This window comes from Homo sapiens, chromosome 9 (genome assembly GCF_000001405.40).
Source record: "Homo sapiens chromosome 9, GRCh38.p14 Primary Assembly".
Lineage (NCBI taxonomy): Eukaryota > Metazoa > Chordata > Mammalia > Primates > Hominidae > Homo > Homo sapiens.
In genome coordinates, this window is record NC_000009.12 from 118,880,097 (window position 1) to 118,904,768 (window position 24,672).

General features: G+C 37.0%; 1 long non-coding RNA gene across 1 annotated transcript in view; it reads left to right on the forward strand.

Annotated features, from left to right (window-relative positions):
• The window catches only part of LOC101928849 (uncharacterized), a 128,376-nt gene that overhangs the window by 28,043 nt on the left and 75,661 nt on the right, over positions 1-24,672 (forward strand). The window contains exon 2 of the long non-coding RNA XR_001746918.2: positions 22,260-22,421. This is a non-coding gene — a long non-coding RNA (uncharacterized LOC101928849). The remainder of the gene's footprint in view (positions 1-22,259; positions 22,422-24,672) is intronic.

Consider the following 24,672-nt stretch of genomic DNA (forward strand, 5'->3'; position numbering starts at 1 on the left):
CACACACACACACACACACACACACACGCACACTCCACAAATACATACATGCATGTGTATACAGTAAGATAGAGACTGTCATCCAAAGCATTGCTAAAAGCTCTGCAATTACAAGGAAATAAAAAGGTGAATTTCTTTAACTTTGATTTTTCTTAATTTGATGTTTTCTCTGATTGAATTTTGATACCCTGGATTTATAGGAACTTGGTTCTGCCACAGATTTGGCTTATTTTCTTTAAGTTACTTAACATTACAGATTCTATTTTTGTTAAATAATTAAGTTTTATATATTAAAATAGAAAACTTAAAGGTTGTTTTTTTCCAAAATGTATGTGCATCTTGGAATCAGGGACTATAGAAGAACAAATAGGAAAACAGTATCATTCTCACTATGGTTCAAATCTTCAGTGATGCCCTCTTCTTCCTCCTTTCCTTCTGTTTTTTCTGCTATCAGCCTTGTGGGCAGATGGGATCTCAGCCCCTTCAATGTGCCTGCTCTTCTTGTGGAACCAGGAAGTCACATCCCATAAAGCAAATAAATAGTCCAGAAACACAAAAGGATCTGGTTTAAGATCTACAGAACAGTTCTCATTCTCCCCTACAATCCGATACATCTATAGGCTGGGGTGGGAAAACATCATCACAAACTTTGTAAGAGACAGTTTTGCTCTCTCCAGGATGTTATCAATTTGGTAAGGTTAAGGAAAGTGATCACAGGCCTTATATGGGTTTCTTATATTTGGTTTCCATATATGAGGAGTTTCATATATTCCATATATGAGGGTTCTTATATTTGGATTCCATATATGAGGAGCATGTGATTTTGTATGTTGATGAGGTTTATCTTAGAAATATCTAAAGAAGTTTTGTCTTGCTTGATATGTAAATCACTAAGGTGATTTACAATAAAATTACAATAAGGCAGATAATTACCTTACTCTTATTAGAACCCATAAGAATTGTATATGCCCACTAAAGTATGATTCTTACAGATGATAGCAAGAGCCAATATATATTGGCCACTCTGGTTAAGGCATGGTGCTTAAAAACATATTGGTATTAGCTTAGGCAATGCTCCATGGTAGTCCCATTTGATAGACACTAGTGTGATGACCATTTTTAGATTAAAAAATGTTAGAATAAGTAAGAATTAGTGAGTGGTAAAGTAAGAAAACAAATTTAAGCTGTAGGACTATAAATACTGTGCATGTAACCTTGCATATTCTACCTCAATGGGACATAATTGTATACTTCATATTATACTACATGCATAAATCATATTAGAGTATTATGTAACTCAGTTGATGCATTAATTTGGCTCAGTCTAACTTTCTGTTTGTGCCACATACAGATGTTTTTTGAGAATGATCATTATCAGCACTTGAGAATCAAATTTAATTCAGGTGTGGTAGATTGTTTGCAAAAAGACAGCAATCATTTCTCTCTTCACCTCATTGCCAGGTGATTTTGCAGCAATTTCCACCAGGAGGTGAAGTCTATTTGCATTCCTCTTCAATCTAAGCTGTCTTTGTGACTTACTGTGAGCAAAGAATGTAAAAGAATTTATGTTGCACCAGTTCTGAGCCCACACATCAAGAGACCTTGAACACATCCACTCTCTCTTGGTCTACTGCCACTGCCCCGTGAACAATCTGGGCTAACTTGCAGGATAAGAGCCATGTGCCCCAGTCACCCTTGTAGCAGCCAGTCATTGCCTGTCATTGCCAAACGTGTGTGAGGCCTTGGACTAGCCCCTTTTTGCCAAGCCACCAGCTGATCACATGCACATGAGCAAACCCACTTGAGATCAATCAAGCTGACCCAGAAGAACAGATCCACTCAATTAATCCATAGACTCATGAGCAATGTTAAATGATGGTTACTTTAAGCTATTAATTTCCTTAGATTGGCTTGTGATGCAACAATAAATAAGTGATACACCAAGAAAACAACAGCAAAAACACATATTTTATTCCATGGTATCCATTTAGTTTCTTGCATCATTTGTTTATTCAGTAATCATCTGATTAATGTTTACTCAGAGGTGATGCTTGTAATTGGTTGAAAAAGAAGTAATAATTTTGGGTCTAAATACTGTGTGTTATAATGAAGCATTTGCTTACTTTAGAATAAGCTAGAGACAGTAGGCCAAAGTGGTACTGTCTTTAAATAAGGCACCTTTATCATCTTGCATTAAAAAAACACGCTTGCTGAATTTATCAAGTCTTATTGGCTGCTCTGAGCAAAACCTGCTCACCAATTCAATACCTGGGTTTCTTCACCTTTTTGTCCAGTTGTAACTTGGTTCATTTTCCTGCATCTCTTGCACATTTCTCAGGGCCTATTTCTGTCCTTTTAGATCAATATAGCTAACTTTTTTTCTCTCGCTCTTCTATTTGGCCTAGTTTATTTCTGTCCAAATTCTTAATTTAGAATCTCCCTGTGACCCATCTTATTCAAGTGCCTCAGTTTACCGTTAGACAAAGTTTTAACATGATGAATGGCACCTACCCCTCACCATCTGCCAGGATATTTTCCTTATCGCAGCTTTGAGTCATAAAACACTGAAAATGATGATGGAAAAGAACTTGGCAGATATGAAAGAGTTATAAATATACATGCTCACCCATAAATCAATACCAATAATAAATTGCATTCAAGTGCTATTTAATTCTTTGTGATCATCAATAAAGATATAAAAAGTTCATCCCCAACATCCTCTCTGTGGTTAACCTCTCAGCACCTCCATGCAGCTTCCTGCGCTATTAGTCATCATTCTGTTTACTGTCTCTCTGACGGTCTGCTTTAGTTTGATTCATCTCATTCTGGAAGCATTTTACCATGGAATGTCATTTTGGAGGTGGTTTAGAGGAGAGGTTGCGTTTCTTCTCACAACCAGTTGGAAAACTTGTACATCAAAAACTTGTGTTGGTGACGTTTAAACCCAGGGTGTCTTTTTGTTTTCTGATATAATTTATTCTCCCCCATACCAGGGAGCTCATGATTAGTTCTGGTTGGAGTTTAGCAGGAAGCAGCCTACCCATTAACTGCCCCCTCCGCTTTCTTTCTTCCCACTCCCACCCAATGTCCCTTTTCTCCCCAGTGCCATCTTCTTAGGTTCATAATTAGACTCTGCAACCTCAGGTCCCTTCCACAAAGTGATGAGCTACTAAAAATACAGCCCTGCAGGAATACGTTCAACTTCTATTTCTGTTATTTTTTTTAACATCAGTTTCAGATGAACAAAGCAGTTAAACAAAGGGAGAGAGAAAGTGCTGTGATTGTGAAGACAGAACATTGCTACTTACTTTGTTCATTTTAATTACACAAAGTCATCATTTAGCAGAAGCCCAAGGATACTGCAAGGGAAATGCTTTCACAGACTTATCTCCTTTTGATATTTCCCATTTAAAGAATCTTCCAATGACCCTGAACATAAATACCTTCATTGTAACCCTGAAAAACCCTGCATCTCTGTACAGCCCTTGAAACGGGAACAGCTGCTTTTAAGGTGTGGGGAAGGCTGGACATAATTGGACCATTCTGCTAATGAGACCTACTTCCATCACTCTGCTGACTGTCTCATGGCATTTAAGATGAGTCTCTTAAAACTGGGTTACGGAAATGAGGGTGGGGCAGGAGGAGGGGTATGTGGAAGACTCCCATGGATACTAAGAGTTTTCAGTCTTCAGTAGATATACAGAGCCAGAACACGAATGTGAGAAGAAAAAACAAAAGCTTTGCTTGTGTGAAAATCTAAAATCTGAATGTTTCTACTTCTCACCCACATGCTTGATATTTAGCAACTCCTATTTTAAAATCTGTCTTGTGATAGTGCATCAATGGCTTCATTTTTGATAATATTAGATACTATCTATTTCATGTGTATTATATGTCAGACATGCTGGTAAAAAAACATATTGAATAGCTTATTTAATCTGCATAACATAATTACAAGAAGGCACCATTTCCTCCTGCTTTCTAGATAAAAATAATGAGGTTTACTTTGGTTAAATAACATAGTAAAGGTCATGCAAATAGTAGACGGATGAGGCAGGATTTGAACCTAGGATTCCTCAACTTAAAGCCTGAGCCTCTAGCCACCTGATGCCCCACTTGAGGAACTTAACGTATAACACCAGTGTCATTCTCTCAAAATCTCAAGTCATGCACTAATTTATTCAGTGAATATTTATATAACTCCTAATACACACAAAGCCCAATGCTGGGTAGTGAGGATGCTTAACAGGCGAATCAGGCTTAATTTTGTCCTTTGAATTACCTACAGTGTGGAGTTGGAGAAATATATTCATAGAAAATATCTGCTGTGTAGTAAAATATGTTAATAATCATTAGGTTTACGGTGTTTAAAAGGGGAAGTTACAAGAGTAGAGAGACTGAAGTGACTGTGGTCAGCAGGAATCAAGGACAGTTTGAGAGGGTAGTTTTAAAATATCCCAGACTGTATCATTCTACTTTATCACTATATCCCTGTAATGACCAGGGTGCCTGGTATATAGTCAGTGTTTAAGAAATACTAGTTTAATGAATGAAGGAGTAAATAAGTTGTGAATATGTAAATGATTTAGTGAATGAGTGCATGAATGTATTTTTCAATGATAAACCTTAAAGAAGCTTAGATATTTTCCCAGTGGACAAGAGAGAGATGAAGCTTCCAAAATCAAGAAAGTGAGAAATGGTATGACTAGTGTGGAAATAGGAAGTAATGAAGGAAACTAAATGTTCTGCAAGGAAAATTGAATTACTGAACTGTAGAAAATTAATTGGAAGCCACTGAATATTTTTAATCGGTGGAGAATAACGATCAAATTGGCATTTTGGAAAGACCACTGTGGCAACAGAGAATGAATTAGAGGAAGGGTTAAGAGATGGTAGCAAGGAATCCAATCTATATTCATAAACTTTTAGTTCCATTGTATTTCATTGAATTGTACTGATAAAAAACAAATTGTAGAGAAACATACTTTTGAAGGACATCTGTTCTAATATCCCAACCTACTCTTTTTTTTTAATGCTGAAATGTGTTTAGCAGGGGACATCTACACTAATTAAAGCAGCTTGTGGTGTGAATCAGTATTTTCATAAATGTAGTTCTGTGATCTTTGTCATGTCAATTAGCCACATTTTTTTCTGATCTGTAAAATAAATATATTGATTTCAATCTGATACAACATAAGCATTACAGTACAATAACATTTATAAGATTTGATAAGCCATGAAGTGATGATTCTAGTTATTATCATTATAATTCTTAAAATTAATAAAAGTGCCAGTGTGGGTGATAAAGTTGGGGTACTACTAACATTAGCACCATTACCCCAGATTTCTGTGTTGGCAGCCTACTAAAAAGCAAAGGTCATAGTGGCATAATCCTCAAGTCTGAAAGAAATTAGCTGAGATCTATTAAATAGCCTTGATACTAAAAAATGAGTAGCGCATAGTAAGTGCTAAATAAATTATCTTTACTAAGCACAATTGATATCTGAAACCACCTCTGTTTTCTCGTCTAAAATTTCTTCAAACATCCATTTTTTAATCTCTTTTCTCGACTTCTAATTTCCACCCTGTCATTTTCCCATAAAGATGACCAAAAATATAGGGACTCTTTGAAGCATCTTTTTCATGTTGGATAAATGCCTAATTAGAAACCCAATTTAAAATCATGTAAAAATGTTTGTTTAAATTATTAGTGTGTGTATACACACATACATATATGCACACATAGGACAATAAGCTAACAGAAAATATATTGCTAAAAATTGTTAGCTGGGTCTCTCATCAGATTCCATATATCTTTGATAATTTCTCCATCTGTAATAAAATAATTAATTTACTTCTATGTGTTCTCTGGAACAGCCTACTGAATTTCGTCTTGTACCCATTTGCAAATTGATTTGGTGATATTAAACCACTACGATTTATTTATGTGGGCCTTCATTTGTTTTTGTTTTTCTTTTTTTTACCTCTCAGTCCCAGGTGACACAAAAAGGCACATGAGCCCTCTCACATCGTTGCTGGCACTTACTGTCTTCCTAACTGTCTTTCAGTTGCAAGAATGATTCTATCTGTTCATAAGCCCGTAAAACGGATATTTGATTTGATTTAGGTGGAGATTCACTGAACTAATTTCATTACGATTAACTATCTACTGTGAGTTTTGTTCTTTTTGTGGTTCCGAACCTCTAATGCAATCCAATTTGTCAGTGTTGTCAGTGAGCAGAGTCTCTGACCTACATTTGAAGTCTTTTTTTTTTTTTTTTTTTTTTTTGTAAGAAAGAAGGTAAAGTTCACTCTGGGCAGAAAGATGTTCATTGACACATTTGTATGCTTGCCCTACACACAACAGTGCTAAGCACTGGGGATAGAAAGATGAGAAAGATACAGCTCAAAAAAAAAAAAAAATTAAAGAGGTTGCCAGCCCAAAGGGAAGACAGACAACTTCAGTGAATGGTAAAATATACAATAAAAACTATATTATTAAGTTTTTATAGAGAAGAAATCCATTCACTTATTAACAAATATTTCATGAATAGCTACTATGTGTTTAAAATGAAGATGAGTTTTGCCCACATGTGCAATCAGGCAAGATCTGGAAAGGTTTTGAAGACAGAGTCGCACCCAAGCCGTGTTTTGAAGGGTGAAGAAAATTTGCTAGTTGAACACTGTGAAAGATGTTTACCAAATCTGCTGCAGTTATCTTTTTCTCTGTATCCAAGCTTCTGTGAAATTAGACTCTGTATCTCTTCTCATGAAAGGGCAAAGTCCACCTCTTCCTTACTTATTCTCTCGCTCCATAGATCTAGGATAGTCACATGTGACTTGCTTTGGCTAAAAGAGTGCAGTAGAAGCAATAAGCAATGTTGTGGCAGTTCTAAATTTCAACATCAAGAGGCTCTGTATACTTCTACTCTTTCTTTGAAATCCTATGACCACCGTACAACCAAATGTATGTAGGCTAGCTTGCTGGATGAGAAAAGCCATGTGACCCAGTCACTGCTGTCACTCCAGACAAGTGCCAGCAAACTCCAAAAGCAGAGAGCCTAGCTAAAGAGCTGCATCAGTGATCCCAGCCATGGCTGGAAGAGCCATCTAGCTTGCTTATTCCAAATTTCTCAGCCATAAAATCATGAGGCAAATGAATGGATATTGTTTCAAGCCACTAAATTTTGGAGTGGATCATTGGCTGGCAAAAACTAAATGTTTAGAGATCACTTTCCAGAGAGTCAGAGTAGCATATGCAAGAACACTGAAGCAGGACTCATCAAGAGAACTTAAAGGATCTATGAGAGGTTCAATGTTCTCATTAGCACTGTTCTAGCTACAAGTTATGGAAACTCCATGAAATCTCTTTGAGAATCTTTTCACTGATTTTATAGACAAGACTTGCAATTGGTGGATGGACCTTCAGGCATGGTTGTATCTAAGTGTTCAAATGATGTCATCAAGGCCTTATACTATATTCAATGTTGTTTTAGTCTTTTTAGCCTAATTATTACATGGGTTATCTTCTTGTAGTCCAAAAAGAACCATGGAAAAGCTCCAGGTTTCCATTATCTATCTAGTTAGCAATTCTCAGGATGATACCTCATCCTCAGTTTATATGTTGGACTTTCAGAAAAACTCTGATTTGCCCTAGCTGTGAAGGAGGTGGGACAAAATTCACAAGGCCATAGGGAAAAACAGTCGCCAAAATAAAAATAGGTATTCTATTATTGAAATTAATGGCAAAAACCATAATTACTTTTGCACCAACCTACTATTACCAGAAAAAAAATTGTTGAAAGAAAGTTTGTTCAGAATTAAAAAACAGCCTTCCTCTATCAGTTATAGAATGTCCATTTTCAGCTGACTCAAATAACAATATAATTATAGGCCAAGTCTGTTTTATCATATAGTGTAATAAACGAGATGGGGTGTTGACTTCAGGAATAGTTTGATTCAGAGTTTCATGATGCCATTATGGCTTTGGCACCATTTCTCTCCATGATGCTGAAGATTTCCCTCCTTGTCTGTCTTCAACCTGGCTTTTCTCATGATAGTAAGGTTGGCCATAACACCTTACAGCCTCATATTGATATACTACAGAGTCCAGAGAAAGGAGAAAAGTTTGTTCTGTCTTCCAGTTTTGTAAGAAAAAATATGATTCACCCTGCAATGGCAGGCTTAATTTGGACACTGAACTGAAAAACAAAACACTGTGACCCAGAACCACTGGGAACCACAAGCGAAACTTGGGACTACTGGAGAGGGGAGACATAAAAGCTGAGAAGGCATCTAAAATGCCTGTTATTTCCATGACATCAGAATTAATCGAAAATAAAACAATGGAGAAAGGTTATAGGAGACTAAGCTCAGAGGGCGTGCATGAAGGGTTTTGAAGTCTGTGCTTAGAAGTCTCTGGGTTAGTCTCTTCCTAGAATTTCTCTGGAACACTGGCACTAGATGATCCTGTATCAGCAGTAATTAATTTTTTTCATCCATTCATCTATCCATCTTCATCCATCTATCCATCCATTCGTCTGTCATCCATTTAGCATATATATGGTGGGCATCTATTTAAGCAATAGACTTTGACAAGTACTGACGCTACATAGGTGTATAAGGTACTGCCATGCCCCAGGGAGCTCACAGTCTAGTAGGGAGATAAACACTTAAGAAAATGCTGGCAGTATAGCCGCAGTAATGTCTAGGTAAAACTTGTTTTTTTCAGCAAGTTTTTATATCCCTGGTAGGATGAAAGTCAACAGAATTTTGTAACATAAATCCTATTGTGAATGTACCAAAAAGAGTCTGGAATAACATCTATGATTTATTGGTGAAGTCTAGGCTTGATTTGCATCATTTTACTCAATCTTCAAAACACTCCATGAGTTTGACATTATTATCAATGTAGCTAGTGAGAAAACTGAAACTCAGAGGGGTAACATGCCCAAAACACTTAAGCAGAAATAAGAAATGAACTTCATTCTGACTGAATCTAAGGCCTCGGCTTCCAGTTACTACTTTATGCAACACATTTTATTGGGATTTCAAATGTTCTTTGATATTCCAGTTGTGGATTTCAAATGTTCTTAGATATTCTAGTTGCACATAGTCATCTTGGTCTTTAAAACCAAATTATGAATAATTCCAATATCCATGCCATAAATTGAAGCAATTCTAGTAGTTTTTCAATATTTTCTGTGAATTTTTCAGTCTTCTTTTCTCAGAACCTCCTTTGGCTGTGAGCTTCTTCCAGTGAAACCACTTCGGAATATTTTCTCATTCAGTGCTGTGATACCTTTCTGTTCTACACTGGATCAACTTAGATGTGGAAGCCAAGGTCTTCCTTCTTTGATTTCCAAAAAGAAGTAAAAAACGAACAAACAAAAATTGACAGGCTTATACCTGGGTAGATGACTTTATTGAAGAATTAAATGGTAGAAAGTGATTCATGCTGAGACAACACACACACACACATACACACACAAAACGTAAAACCTCAATTCTGCCTCTGAAAGTCCATTAATTGTTTCCATTTCTCAATGTTCATCCTTCTAGCACATTTCAGGTCTTCTTTTGTCCCATTTCCTCTCTGTCCATCTCTGTTCTGTGTTTTTTATTTTTCTTTTCATCCCCAAATTTCTGCTAGATGGGTTTAGCTGTTTCTTTCCTAGACCCATTTAATCCATATTTTCAGGATGGCATCAACCACCCCAGGAAGGTTTTCAATGCATTTTCCTAGACAAAGACAGTTTCCTCTCTCCAAAGATTTTTGAAGCTACTTTTAAACAGATAGTTTCACCCCACTGATCATCTCCTCAAGACCCAGATTAAGTAGCACAGGACCTGACAGGTTGAGTCAGGCTGGGAAGAGGTACCCAGATATATTAAAACATATTTTAAGGCTGAAATCCAGATAGTAGAGTGGCACAGCCTGTGAGCTGTGTAATGATTTATCCTCAATATACTTTAATAGATTAAAACTCTCTGACTGATACTAGCCGGTAGTGATCTTCTTGGACAGGCGTGGGAGGGTGGGCAAAGTTTTTGTTTAATTCAGTCTATGTCTCTAGTGCATAAAATGGAACCTGGAACATTTTTTAGATGCTCAATAACTTTTACCAGACCAAACTGAACCTAGCCAAGTAAGATAAAAACTATAAAATCAACTATTAATAGAAGTTAGATGATTTATCTTGCCCCTCACATTTTTAGTCTATTTTCTTATGCTTTCCTTCCAAATTTACCAGACTTTTTTTTAGTCTAGCTTATCTGTGTTATGTAAAAGCAACAAAAAGAAAAGGTTTTTGCCATCCCAAACATAATAATGGTGGTCGTAGTGTCAGAATTAAAATGAGAAAACTATCAATTAAGCCACCCCTCTTTACCTATTGAGTCTTTTTAATGCCAAAATGACAGTATCCATGCATAGTTCTAAAATTGGAGATTTGTTCCATTATACATGTTTATACATTAATAATAATAATACAATCAGAAACCACTTTACATATTAGGATAGCTAATATGTAGAAAAAACCAGAAATGTTGAAGCATTGGCAAGGCTGTGGGTAAATTAAGTCCCTTGTGTATTTCTGGTGGGAATGTAAAATCATGTGCAGTGCAGTATGGCAGCCAATCAAAGACTTAAACATAGCATTACCATGTGATCCAAGAATTCCACTGTTAGTGCGCCATAGACTGAATGTTTATTCCCCCCTATGTTGAAACCTAATCTAAATGTTAGGTATTTAGAAGTGAGGCATTTGGAGATAATTAGGTAATGAAGGCATAACCTCGTGAATGGGATTAGTGCTTTTGTAAAAGAGACCCCAGAAAGCTGCTTCCTTGTCCCTTCCAACACATGAGGACCTAGCAAGAAGATGGCTGTCTATGAACAAGGGAGCAGGCCCTCACCAAACACCGAATCTCTCAGTGCCTTTATCTTAGACAGCCCCCAGAACTGTAAGACAAGTGTTTGTTGTTTAAGCCACCCCATCTGTGGTATTTTTGTTATAGCAGCCTAATGGTAAGACAAGGCATATACCCAAAAGAATGGAAAACAATGACTTTAATAGATATTTGTACACTCATGTTCATAGCAGCATTGTTTGTAATAACCAAAAGGTAGAAACAACTCAAGTGTCCATTGATGTATGAATAGATGAACAAAAAGTCATATCTTCATACAATAGAACAGGGGTTCCCAACCCCCCGACCATGGACTGGTTCTGGTCTGTGGCCTGTTAGGAAACAGGCCTCACAGCAGGAGGTGAGCAGCGGGTGAGCAAGTGAAGCTTCATCTGTGTTTACTGCTGCTCCCCACCGCTCACATTACTGCCTGAGCTACGCCTCCTGTCACAGCAGCAGCAGATAGACTCTAATCTATCCATTAGATTCCCTTAGGAGTGTGAACCCTCTTGCAAACTGCGCATGTGAGGGATCTAGGTTGCACGCTCTTTATGAGGATCTAACTAATGCCTGATGATCTGAGGTGGAGCTGTTTCATCCTGAAACCATCCTCCCCGACCCCCTAGGTCCGTGGAAAAACTGTCTTCCAGGAAACTGGTCCTTGGTGCCAAAAAGGTTGGGCGCCGCTGCAATAGAAAATTATTCAGCCATAAAAATGAATGAAATTCTGATACATGCTTCAAATTTGATACACTTTAAAAATATTAGGGTAATCAAAGTAAGACAGACACAAAAAGATAAATATTGTATTCTCCACTTATTTTAGTATGTAGAATTGTCAACTGTATAGATAAAGAAAGTGGAATTGTGGTTACCAGGGGGCTGGAGTGAGGGGAGAATGGGAAGCTATTGTTTAGTGGGTATTGTGTTTTAGTTTAGAAAAACGAAAACATTCTTGAAAGAAATAGTAGCGATGGTTACATAATGTTGTCAACACACTTGTTGCCACTGAACTGTACACTCAAAAGTGGTTAAAATGGTAAATTTTCCGTAAAAAGCCACCCCTAAAGGAAGAGCATTGCATGCAGGACCTTATGAATGTGCTGTCTCACATAAACCACAATCCTACAAGGTTGATGTATCAGTGCTTGTCTAATCAGAAGGCGAAAACGGCACCAGTTACTTGCAAAGATAATATTTAAAGTAAAAACGGTTAACCATATTACAGAGAATTGAAAAGCTGAAAACAGGATTAAAAAAAAAAAGGATAGTGGTATCCCTTCTAGGTCAGGAGCAAAATGAAAGAAATGAGAATTATTAAAACTGAAAAGGTTGGAGGAAAGCCTCCAGGGAACTGGGATTCAGGTCTCTGAGAAGGAAGAGTGTCTTGTGTCTCCGAGGAGATGTATGAGGTGGCTTCTGAAGGTGTTGAGAAAACTGCAACCCAGAACCACCTGCTGCTACAGAAATGCACTGCAGCTGCCTGGGTGAATAAGCCTGGCTGAGTTACACTGATAGAGATAAAAACATAGTAGGATGGAGTGTGTCTTTTCCTTCATCTCTTGTCTTGAAGCCTCACTTCAGCATTCCCCAGATGATAAAGAAAACAAATATATAGTGCAGAAATGTAGGTTTGGTGTTGAGAGGCAATTGCTGAATAGCTAGTATAGTTTGTAGGTTTGTACTCACTTTACTTATGACAACCCTATGATTTAAAGAGACCAGATGGCTTGCATAGGCCACACAGTCAGTTCAGGGAAGGGCCAGTGTGTGAACTCAGCTCTCCTTCAATGGAAAGTATGTTTTATTTTCAATGGGCCATCTTGTTTCATTGGTTAATTTGTTCATCCATTTAATTATTCAAAAAATTCAATTCTTGAAAGCCTTACCAATAGCAAGCACTGTGCTTGGTAGGGCAAAGATTAACAAAATACACAGTTAAGTCAGGGATGCAAGAAGTAGCCAGATGAGTACAGGCAAATGGCATGTCCTATAACAGAGGTAAACATCATGCTATGGAGAGCACTGGAGCATGCTACCTAGGAGGGTCAGCGTAGGTGCCAAAGGGTTGGTGACATTGGAACTGTGGTCCTGTCTGTGTCCTGTAGTAATTGAGGAAAAATAGACCTTTCTTTAGCAGGATTGTAGCATGATGAAAGCGCTTTAAAAAATTCCAGATACTCTACTTCTTGAAGATGAAGCCTATTAACTCATCACAATGTAGGCCTCAATCTATGAAGCTGCCCTGTGAAGCTAAATATTTCTCCTTTTGCCATGAGCCATGAACCAGAGAGATGTTGACCTTTCTACAGAAATGGACAAGGATTAGAGGTCAGGGATTTTGTTTAAGTGGGTCACCTTTGAAGTCCTTAAGTTTCAGGAGATAAAAAGAGGTGCTCATCGGTCTTTCTTTCTGGCCCTGCCTTTGATTCCCAGACAAGGATATGAGAAATAAGATTATTGTGTCAGAACACAAATTCTCATTTCCAGGAATTTCCAAAGAGCCTAATTTCTACCTACATTTTAAGGCAAAGCATGAGAATTTCCCCCTTTTTTAGCTTCTCTTTATTTATAGAATGATTGACAGAAACTCTCAGAATTTTATCTTTTTTTCTCCTTCTGTCTCTCTCTCTCTTTGTGGTATGTTGAAATGATTAATAAGTGCTGCTTACTTAGTACTGACTGCATAACTCTGTGGTGCAAGCTGTACATATATTAGCTCATTTAGTTTTCACAACTAAATATGAAAGAAAATAGGGCTCAGAAGAGACACGTAACTTGACCAAATTCACACAGTGTCTAAACAACAAGAAAAAAATATATATATATCTATTACCAGATTACAGGCCAAACTAGTGGAATAGCTTGCCTCTGAAAGATGCAAGTTCTTTCTCCTTTACGATAACCCTTCTCCCCTTTATAATTCAAGTATTTGGCCAAAGGTAAATTAGAATACTTTGCCACCAAAATAATGCTGTTTCAGAAATGAAAATGTCATTCAGACAAAAACATGTTTCCATATTAGTCTTTGCTTGTGCTGGAAATTTCCACTATTTCACACAATTCAATTAAGATGTGTTTCATTTCTACTATGTATATGGCATTGTTCTTAGCATTAGAGATACCAAATATCGGTTAATTTTGGTCTCTACTATCACGAAGCTCAAAGTCTAATTTACCAGTTATTTTCATCTTCAGGGGAGAGCAGAGGAATAGATCCATGACTTCAATTCCAGACCTGCTGTGGAAAAATCATCCTTTCCTATGAACAGACACTTCTCAAAAGAAGACATTTATGCAGCCAACAAACACAGGAAAAAAAGTTCATCATCACTGGTCATTAGAGAAATGCAAATCAAAACCACAATGAGATACCATCTCACGCCAGTTAGAATGGCAATCATTAAAAAGTCAGGAAACAACAGATGCTGGAGAGGATGTGGAGAAATAGGAACACTTACACTGTTGGTGGGAATGTAAATTAGTTCGACCATTGTGGAAGACAGTGTGGCAATTCCTCAAGGATGTAGAACTAGAAATACCATTTGACCCAGCAATATCTTTACTGGGTATGTACCCAAAGGATTATAAATCATTCTCCTATAAAGACACATGCACATGTATGTTTATTGCAGCACTATTCACAATAGCAAAGTCTTGGAACCAACCCAAATATCCATCAATGATAGACTGGATAAAGAAATGTGGCACATATACACCATGGAATACTGTGCAGCTATAAAAAAGGATGAGTTCATGTCCTTTGCAGGGACATGGATGAAGCTGGAAACCATCATTCTCAGCAAACAAACACTAGAACAAAAAACCAAACATCACATGTTCTCACTCATAAGTGGGAGTTGAACAATGAGAACACATGGACACAGGGAGGGGAACATCACACACTGGGGCCTGTCAGCGGTTGGGGGGCTAGGGGAGGGATAGCATTAGGAGAAATACCTAATGTAGGTGACAGGTTGATGGGTGCAGCAAACCACCATGGCACATGTATACCTATGTAACAAACCTGCAAGTTCTGCACATATACCCCATAACTTAAAGTATAATTTAAAAAAAAAGGAAAAAAAAGAAAAATGATCCTTTCCTTAAACCAAAAGGAGGAAGCTTCTGTGAAAAAGGGAAATGATAACTAAAATTCTCTTCTTCATTTTCATTGCCTTAATTTTTTTCTCTCTCCCCATTGGGTTATAATAGCATGTCAGGTCCAGAGGCAGCTTTCTTTATGAAGATATTATTTAAAAAGGTTTGTTTTTTTTTGTTTTTGTTTTTTTTTTCTTTTTAACTCTGGAGGAGACAGAACATTAAGTTGAGGCCTACGGGAAAAATACATAACAACTGATTTGAGTGATTTATCTGGGGGCTTACGGAGGGCAAAAGAGGGTTCTTTGACATCTCTAAGACAGCCTACCTCATCAACAAAGGATAAATTATTTGAGGCAGAAAGTCTATTTAACAAGCATTAAAGAATAAAGATTCGGCCGGGCGCGGTGGCTCACGCCTGTAATCCCAGCACTTTCGGAGGCCGAGGCGGGCGGATCACGAGGTTAGGAGATCGAGACCATCCTGGCTAACACCGTGAAACCCCGTCTCTACTAAAAATACCAAAAATTAGCCGGGCGTGGTGGCGGGCGCCTGTAGTCCCAGCTGCTCCGGAGGCTGAGGCAAGAGAATGGCGTAAACCCACGAGGCGGAGCTTTCAGTGAGCCCAGATCGCGCCACTGCACTCCAGCCTGGGAGACAGAGGGAGATTCCTTCTAAAAAAAAAAAAAAAAAAAAAAAAGAATAAGGGTTCACTGAAATGTTCTCTGTGTACCATGCTAGGTGAGAGGTAAGTTGGTGGGTGGTAGTAATGGACAAGGCAAGGAAACCTTCACGTTCTTTTGGATCTCTATTTTCCATAGGAGCAGTTCGAAACCTAGAGAAATTAAGACTGTTCTAAGATCACAGTCAGCACAGGATGAAATCCTGCGCCTTCCGGTTCCAAAAGTAGTGTTCGCTTTTTTTACGACATCCTACCACGAAGTACCATCCCTGAGAACCCCCTTGACACTGAAGGTGCATTTATATAAACATTAAAAAGTGGTATCTGCAGAGTCCACACCAATCCATCTTTTAAATCTTGCTTTTCACGGCATCATTATGGGAGCGCGCTTCACAAAGAGCTCTCTGTAGATGCTATTACCCGGCACGGCGGCTTTGGAAAGTGGGCTGAAGAAACTGAGTTTGTGCAGCAGCACATGTTAACATGAGTTATAATATGTCAGGGGCCTCGTGTTAACGATCAGAGAACCTATTCAGCTCCTTTAAGGTTAATCAACTCAGCATTTGTGCCAGGTGTAATGTCTAATTAAAATGATGGACGGGCAGAGAATGCCTCTGGGCAGAGGGAGGAGATGGCACAAAGAGGGAGCACCCGTGCCATATTGGTTTGGAAAATCAATAAGAGGAGCTCATTTTATCCCAGTGTTATCTGTGCATTTGCCATTCAGTGGCTCATTTGGAAAAGTGCCAACTGGCTGATGAGTAGGCTCAGCGGTGCTGTGTTTTCAGCACTTAGGGATGCTTTGGTGAGAGAAAGCTATGCAGTAGCCTAGGATGTCTCTGAAGGGAACCAGAGAGAGGGAAGTATGGCCATCATGGCTTTCACTTTGAATCGTGAAATCTAAGAGTTGGGAGGAAGCTATAGAAAAAAGCCACCAGAGTAAGAATGGGGCAGTATGAGTTTGAACACCAGTTCTGTCACTAAATAGATTTTTTAAATAAATAAACTCATTTTATTTTTTAATTTTTATAAAATTTAAAAATTTTAATCTTTTAATTTTTATAAATTTAAAAATTTTAATATTTTTTAATTTATAAAATTTAATTTTATAAATTTTTAATTTTGTAATTATAATTTTATTTTAATTTTAATTTTTTATATAACAAAAATAATTGTATATATTTATGGAGTACATAGTGATATTTAAATATATGTAATGTATAATAATTAGATCATGGTAATTAGCATATCCATCATTTCAAATAGTTATCACTTCTTTGTGTTGGGAACACTCAATATTCTAGCTGTCTGAAACTATATAATATACTATTATTAACTATAGTCATCCTACAAGGGCATAGAGTATTAGAACTTATTCCTCTTCACTATCTGTAACTTTATATCCTTTAAAAAAGTTCTCCCTGTGGATTCTTAATGTTGGGGAAGTATTCTCAGCCCTCAATTTCATCACCTGCAAACATATAAAATCATAGCATTAGCTGCCTTGCTTACTACCTAATATTACTGGGAGGATTGGAAGAAGTTTTAAGTGTGAAAATATTATGTAATAACATATAATTTTAAAATGTGTATTTAAATATGTATGATTATTTAATCTGTATGATTTTTTAAAACTATATATTAATTTATGTAATAAAAATTTTTTGAACACCTACTATGGGCTAAATGCTGTTCTAAACACTAAGGATGCATCAAGAAATAGACAATATGATTGCTCCAAGAAAGCTAAATACCTAGTGATAGAGAAAGTTCTCACAGATACTCGATTATATCTACTTATGTCAGGTAAAATTTTCTCATCCCATCTTTGGGAAATCCACACCAGGGAACCAGCTGGAAGGTCAGTTGCATAGAAAATATGTAGGGGGTGAAAGATTATGCAAAGAATATACCAATTATTTTAAGAATTAAATGAACAATCTTATTTAAATCACAATGAATGCATGACTAAATAGATGGTGGTATCAATGTGTACCATGTAATGATAGCCAAAAACTCACAGCAATTACTTTCATCATTGTTGGGATAAACCAAAAAATAACTCAAATTGAAATGTACATATAGCAGCAGTTGGAAAACACAGCTGATCTAAGATGGCACAAATGATACAAAGATATCTCGCTTTAAAACTCTGGAGACTCCAGCTCTCAGGTTTGCAAATATACATGGGAGATTTTCACCATTGCCAAAAGTGAAATGACACCAGAAACTTTATTACAGCAAGGAAATAGAGTCCTCAGTAAATTTTAGCTTGGTATTAATTTTTAATTTATTGATATCTGATGTTGGTGACAACCAGTATCTTTCTTAGAAGATAATTCATAAATAAATTTTATAAAAATATAAATTTCTTCATAATTCACCTTGAAATACTAAACAATGGCAAAATAAATGCAATTTTTAAATTTTAATTCACAACCCACCAAAGTACTTTGGTAACCTACCAATGAGTTGTGCTCTATAATTTGAGAATTAAATATGACAGGATTATATGCGTTTTCTGGGAGATGATTCTCTAATCTCAGTTTGATCACTTTGTTTTGGGAGATCCTTCCATACCCACACCACTGCAAGAGAACCATGGAGGCATGCAGCTTGTTGAATTTTCTTGTCCACAATATATATTAATTTATATATACATTCATTATGAAACTTTTATTAGAAACCTACTCTTTGTCAATTGTTTTGCTGTAGATTATGGAAAAGAGAAAATGTATGGGAAAGATGACAATCATTAATTGATTGAAGATGCCCTTAATTGGCATATGGGGTCTCTTGGAATCAAACTATTTTAAATATCACAAGGCAGATAGTTATTATCTTGCAGTGTGAAATAAATGAAGCCTTGACATTATGGCATAGAGGAAGTGAGTTAACAGAAATATGTACAATTGGCCTTTGAACAACGCAGGGGTTTGGGGAATGGACTCCCCTGTGTAGTTGAAAAATCCATATATAATTGATTTCCCCAAAACAACTACTAATAAGGTATTGTTGACTGGAAGCCATACTAACAACATAAACAGTCAATAAATATTCTGTTATATATATTTATTATATACTGAAATCTTACAATAAAGTAAGCTAGAGAATATAAAATGTTATTAAGAAAATCACAAGGAAGAGAAAATACATTTATTATTTTTTAAGTGGAAGTGGGTCATCCTAAAGATCTTCATCCTCATTGTCTTTATACTGATTAGACAGAGGAAGAGAAGGAAGAGAAGGGATTGGTCTTGCTGTCTCAGGAGTAGCAGAGGCAGAAGAAAATCCAAGTAGAAGTACGCTTTCACAGTTCAAACCTGTGTTGTTTAAGGGCCAAATGTACTTGCAAATGGATGGCCCTGAAAATAAATTACTTACAGAGATTGTCTTAGTTTATTGGGCTGCTGTAATGAACTACCGTAACATGGGTGGCTTATAAATAACAGAAATTTACTTCTTAAAGTTCTGGAAGCTTGGAAGTCCAAGATCAAGACACCAGCAGATTCAGCATCTGCCAGCTGAGGGCTTACTTACTGGTTCTTGGACAGTACTTTCTTGCTATGTTCTCACATGGGTTACAAGTCTCTCTTGTGTCTCTTTTATAATGACAGTCTCCCATTCATGAGGGCTCCATCCTCATGACTTAACTACCTTCAAAAGCCCTCACACTCTAATACTGTCACATTGGGGATTAGGATTCCAACATGTGAACTGTGGGGGAACACAAGCATTCAGGCCATAGCAGAGCCCTTGAAAATTCATAAGCTCTAGACTTCAAATACTAGAGTAAGATTCCAGTTCTCTTTACCTTAATCTAAATTTTACCTAGTATTCCATGACACTACACTTACTGTATAAAGTTGAAAGCTGCTATGAAGAGAACAAAAAAAAAAAAGAGTGAGAGAGAAGAGGTTCATTCTAGTTAAACATGCCATTAGTCCTAAATAGAAAGGAATAAAAGAGACATCTAGAAGATGGTATGGACACTGGTCAGAATTTGCCTTCTTGGGAATAATAGATAAAACTACACAAGAGATACTAAGTTAACTTAAAATAGTTAATAAATTTTGTGTGTGTGTATGTGATGGGTTTAGATAGGAGAAAAAGAAGAACCCAGAATGATTATACATTGCAGAAGTGAGCAGCGAGTGAATGGAGGGAAAAAGAAGGGAAAAATGTACAACTCACTGTCTCCTTCTGTTCCTTGCACCTTGCTGAATTTTAAGGTTGATTTGTTTCTTTTTAACATGTATAGAAGAACCAGCCCATATAATCCTAGTAAAGGTGGCAATATTTAACCAATTGAGTGTAAAATTACTAAAGTTCTGGGCATATTGGCTAGTGTCTACTCTGAGGTGAAAGGGAGTGGTAATGACAATTGCTACTGATGGAAAATCCAATTAAAATTTACTAAGAAATTCTTGAACACCTAATTGGATGCCTCACTCGGTCTTTGATGCTACAATTCTCATCAAAGAAAGTATATTTCCTGATTAAGTTTTAAGAAGTGAAAGGTGTAAAGAATAAGTAGAGAAGGAAGAGAAAGTAGAGGAGACACCCATTGCCACCATTACTAAAACAAGAGCACGGAGACTACACAATGAGCTGTATAAAGTGCCCACTATGTGCAGATAACAGGAAAAGTACTTTATCAATGTTATCCCAATCGATTCTGAAAACGCCTTTACAATGTGGATGGATGTTCTGCATTTTTTGAAACGGAATCTCGCTCTATCGCCCAGGCTGGAGCGCATGGCACGATCTCAGCTCACTGCAAGCTCCGCCTCCTGGGTTCACGCCATTCTCCTGCCTCAGCCTCCGGAGTAGCTGGGACTACAGGCGTCCGCCACCACGCCCGGCTAATTTTTTGTATTTTTAGTAGAGACGGGGTTTCACCATGTTAGCCAGGATGGTCTCGGTCGCCTGACCTCGTGATCCGCCCGCCTCGGCGTCCCAAAGTGCTAGGATTACAGGCGTGAGCCACCACGCCCGGCCAGCCCCTTGTATTCTTAAATACACACATGCCACCTCTTACTCTAAGGTAAAGAAAGTGTCGCCGACACACATGGATTAAATATCTCCTTTTGCATAACAAAAAGACCTCTGAACTTTCTGAGTAGTAGAGCTGGAAAACACTTGATGAAAGATAAACTGAGTCCCAAATTTGTGGTGTTTTGGAACTCATGTTTTCAACTTTCCACAAATGGTGTAGAGCAAAGAGTCCTGGTATCTTGGCCTCATATAAATTTAATTGTTATTCAACCATATCACCCATACATTGTGTGATTGAGGATCTCTGTAACATTATTTCAAGACTCCTATGCCTCAATTATTAAGTTAGAATAAATCATAAAGTACTTGAGAAAATCAAAGGAAGCAAAGGCTATATGAAAGGCTCGTGTTAGCTGGAAAACTTTTTAAGTTTTTGGAGACTTACTTTGTCCAGTGTACTGGAAGAGTCCAAGAAAAGGATAAAAAAAAAAAAAGACAAAGTACAATCATGATCTTCAGTCTCTTATCAGACAAGATTAATTATAATGATGACAATAAATTAGAAGTAATCTGAACAAATCTGGAAGTTTTGAGAGTGCAGAGAAAGTAATGATTAACCCTAAAAGGTATATAATAGGTGTTTTTGAATAAAATACATCATTTTGATGTGATTGAGGCTAAAGACTCAGGAGGAGCCCAATATCAATTTGAGTCATTCATGGCTAGAGGAGAAACAAAAGCAAGACACAAAGAGCGTGGACCCTCACAGAATTAAAAAAGCCCCTCTTGGCTTTGAAGATTTGATTATGATACATGGCATGATTATGGTATGATGGGAAATGTGCATGACATTTTACAAATCTGAGATTAGATAGAAATTAATGAGATCTCACTTTGTTGTGGGGTTCATGCTGGTCCTGAGACCTAGTAATAAGCATATGGTCTTTAGAAGATATCAAGGTGGGGATCTCGGTACTCTTGCCACTGTGTTTTCAGAATTGGAGACAATGGCATCATTTCTGATTGTGCTGTATTTGAGGCAAAAGTCAGGGGCAATGAATAGAGAAGCAGCATTCATTCTTCTAATTGTATATTTCTTTTTGTTAATGCTTCAAAGCAAATGACATGAAAAATTTTATATAATGGTGATGAGCAGATTTTTCCATTTGTAGACGATGACCACATGCATGGATAGGCGGGCCATTCTTTATTTATGCTCAACCGAGTTTCTGCAAATAGAGAAATCGGCTAATTATCTACAAATTTTCATTCTTTATCTGCATAGAATTTTAATGAACAGGAATTGCCATTTACTCATTTATATTTGTGAAGAGGGAACAATCTCTCCCTTTGGTCATTTCTCTCCCTTTGTAGTTCTCAGACCTGATAGCATTAGAAGAAATAAAATTCTGGCTGGTCATTTTCCTACTAAGGATTTCCTACTAAGCAATCCTTTCTGTCACCTTCCTAACTGCAGTTTTCTGAATCAGATGTCTTGCCTGGAATTATGAGGATGAAGTAGGGTAGGGATGTTCTAAAGATTGTCCTTGTTATGTTGTCTTTGTAGACCTGGCTCTCTGTGAAGACATGGCTTGGATTTAATTGGGTTGTAATGCACACAAAGTAATCAAGTCAAATCCACAAATGGCCGTTGAGGACAACTATTACAAGGAAATAAGCTTGACAAAATGCCCCTTTACTAATTTCTGGCCTGAAATCTACAGACCTTGTAAGTATTTGGCACAGAGGTGCAACTTCTGTGCTGCTAAATGATCATCATCATTACCAATAACAAGAGTTTATTATTGCACCAAAATATATCTATATTGATTCAGGCTTTCGTACTGTCTCTCCCATGAAATAAAATTCCTGTCTGGTCTCCCTGCCCGCCTAGTTCCTTTCCAATCCATTCTGTCTGTGGTGGATAAATATTTTTTCAATATAGATCTTATTTTGCCCTTTTCTCAGTCAAAACCGCTTCAGTGTTTCCTTCATCAACTGCAAATTAATGTAATACAAAGTTCTCATTTAAAGAGTAAACAATCGTTTGTGGACCACCCATGAAGGTTTTAATTATTTTCATTATAACATTACTCAAGTGTAAATCTAAGTACGTACTTCTTAAAATAGTGCTTGTACATGTATACCACCGAACCAAACTTATTAACGAAACACAAAAAACATACTGAAACCAAAACCAAAACAATTGTCAATACTAAGTTGTTCCTCTTGAAATCTTATTATCAATATAGAATTTAATAGTAGAAGGAAGTGCTTGTGTGATAAGTTCTACTTTTTAAATAGACTTTTATTGTTTTATATTTTGATATAATAAATCGAGTCATTGTCATTATTAGTAGTTTTTAAAAACTCTAATTTTTTTAATGTCCTGTTATTTTGACAGACCAAATAAATAGAATAGAATCCAAGTAGCAGATATGTGGAAAGAATAAGTGTGGAGATCTAATATACAACATGAGGACTCTAGGTAATAAAGCTGTGCTGTGTATGGGATTCATACTGAATAAATAGATTTTACCTGCTCTTGCCACCAAAACAAACAAAATGTGTAACTATGTGAAATACGTTAATTTGCTTCACTATAGTAACCATTTTACTATCCATGTGTATCCTATAACATGGTGTATACCTTAATTATACACAACAAAATTTATTTTAAAAGGAATCCTTACACAATTTAAAAAAAATCATGATTGAGGAAAAAAAAACCTTTATTGCACATTTGGTATCTGCTATGATATGAATGTTTGCATCCTCTCAAAATTCATATGTTAAAATCCTACCACCGGCCCCCCCACCCCCCTGCCAAGGTGATGGGCAGTAAGAGAGGTCTTTAGGAGGTGACTACGTCATGGAGGAACCCTCATGAATAGAATTAGAGCCCTTATAAGAAAAGGTCTGAGGGAGCTCAGTGGCCTCTTTTGCTATATGAGGACACTGCTAGAAGGCACCACCTATGAATTCGAACACAGTCTTTTTCCAGATGCTAAATCTGCTGTTTCCTTGATCTTGAACTTCCCAGCCTCCAAAACTGTGAAAAATAAATCTCTGTTGTTTATAAGCAGTCCACTGTAGGTGCTAAAATGAGATTCAACAAAGTTTCTATTTTTCTGGGAATTACCTGAGATCTCATTAAATGTGGGATTATTTTTAAAAATAATAATAAGTAAATAAATGTGGGGTTGTTTTCTTAATATAATGGCTTTCAAACTCGTTAAAGACATGAACCACTCTGTGAAAGTTAAATCTCATTGATGATCGATGCCCCCATGCTATACAGATCAGCTCTTATTATACAGCTTGATCTGTTTCTTTGTAGCACTTGTCAGAAATATAATTAAATAATGGTTAGTGCATTTATCTGACGCCCTGCTACAAAGAAGTCAAGAGGAAAGGGCCTACAAGTCTGTCTTGGTCAAAAGTCTGTCTGAACCACCCTACACAGTGGCTATGATATGGTAGACACTCAATAAATATTGCATGAGTCCTAAAGCAAGTTTGCTCTGGTTGAGACTGGAGTGGGAGACTTCCAGCTAAGTCCCTCCTGTTCTTCCTCAGTGGCCCCTGGAGTGGCTTAGCACAATGTCTAATGTTCATCAGAGTATATTTTGGGGAAAAACAAAAGTCCATAAAAAACTCAATTTTCTCATTCTTCATTGACAAAGCAGAGGTGATAATGAACGACCAACAAGATTGTCTTAAGGATGATCCAATATAAGATAATGTATGTAAACATGGGTTTTAAACCTTAAAAATTTTTACCAGTATTTGCCATCTTTAGAAATCTAAGACATGGCTATCACCCAAACTCTCCTTTAATATCCGGAATAGAAGCCTGGACATACTGGACTGAGCCAAATGTAATTTCTATAATATGTGTTAAAAATATTAAAGGCGGGTGGGCACGGTGGCTCATGCCTGTAATCCCAGCACTTTGGGAGGCTGAGATGGGTGGGTCA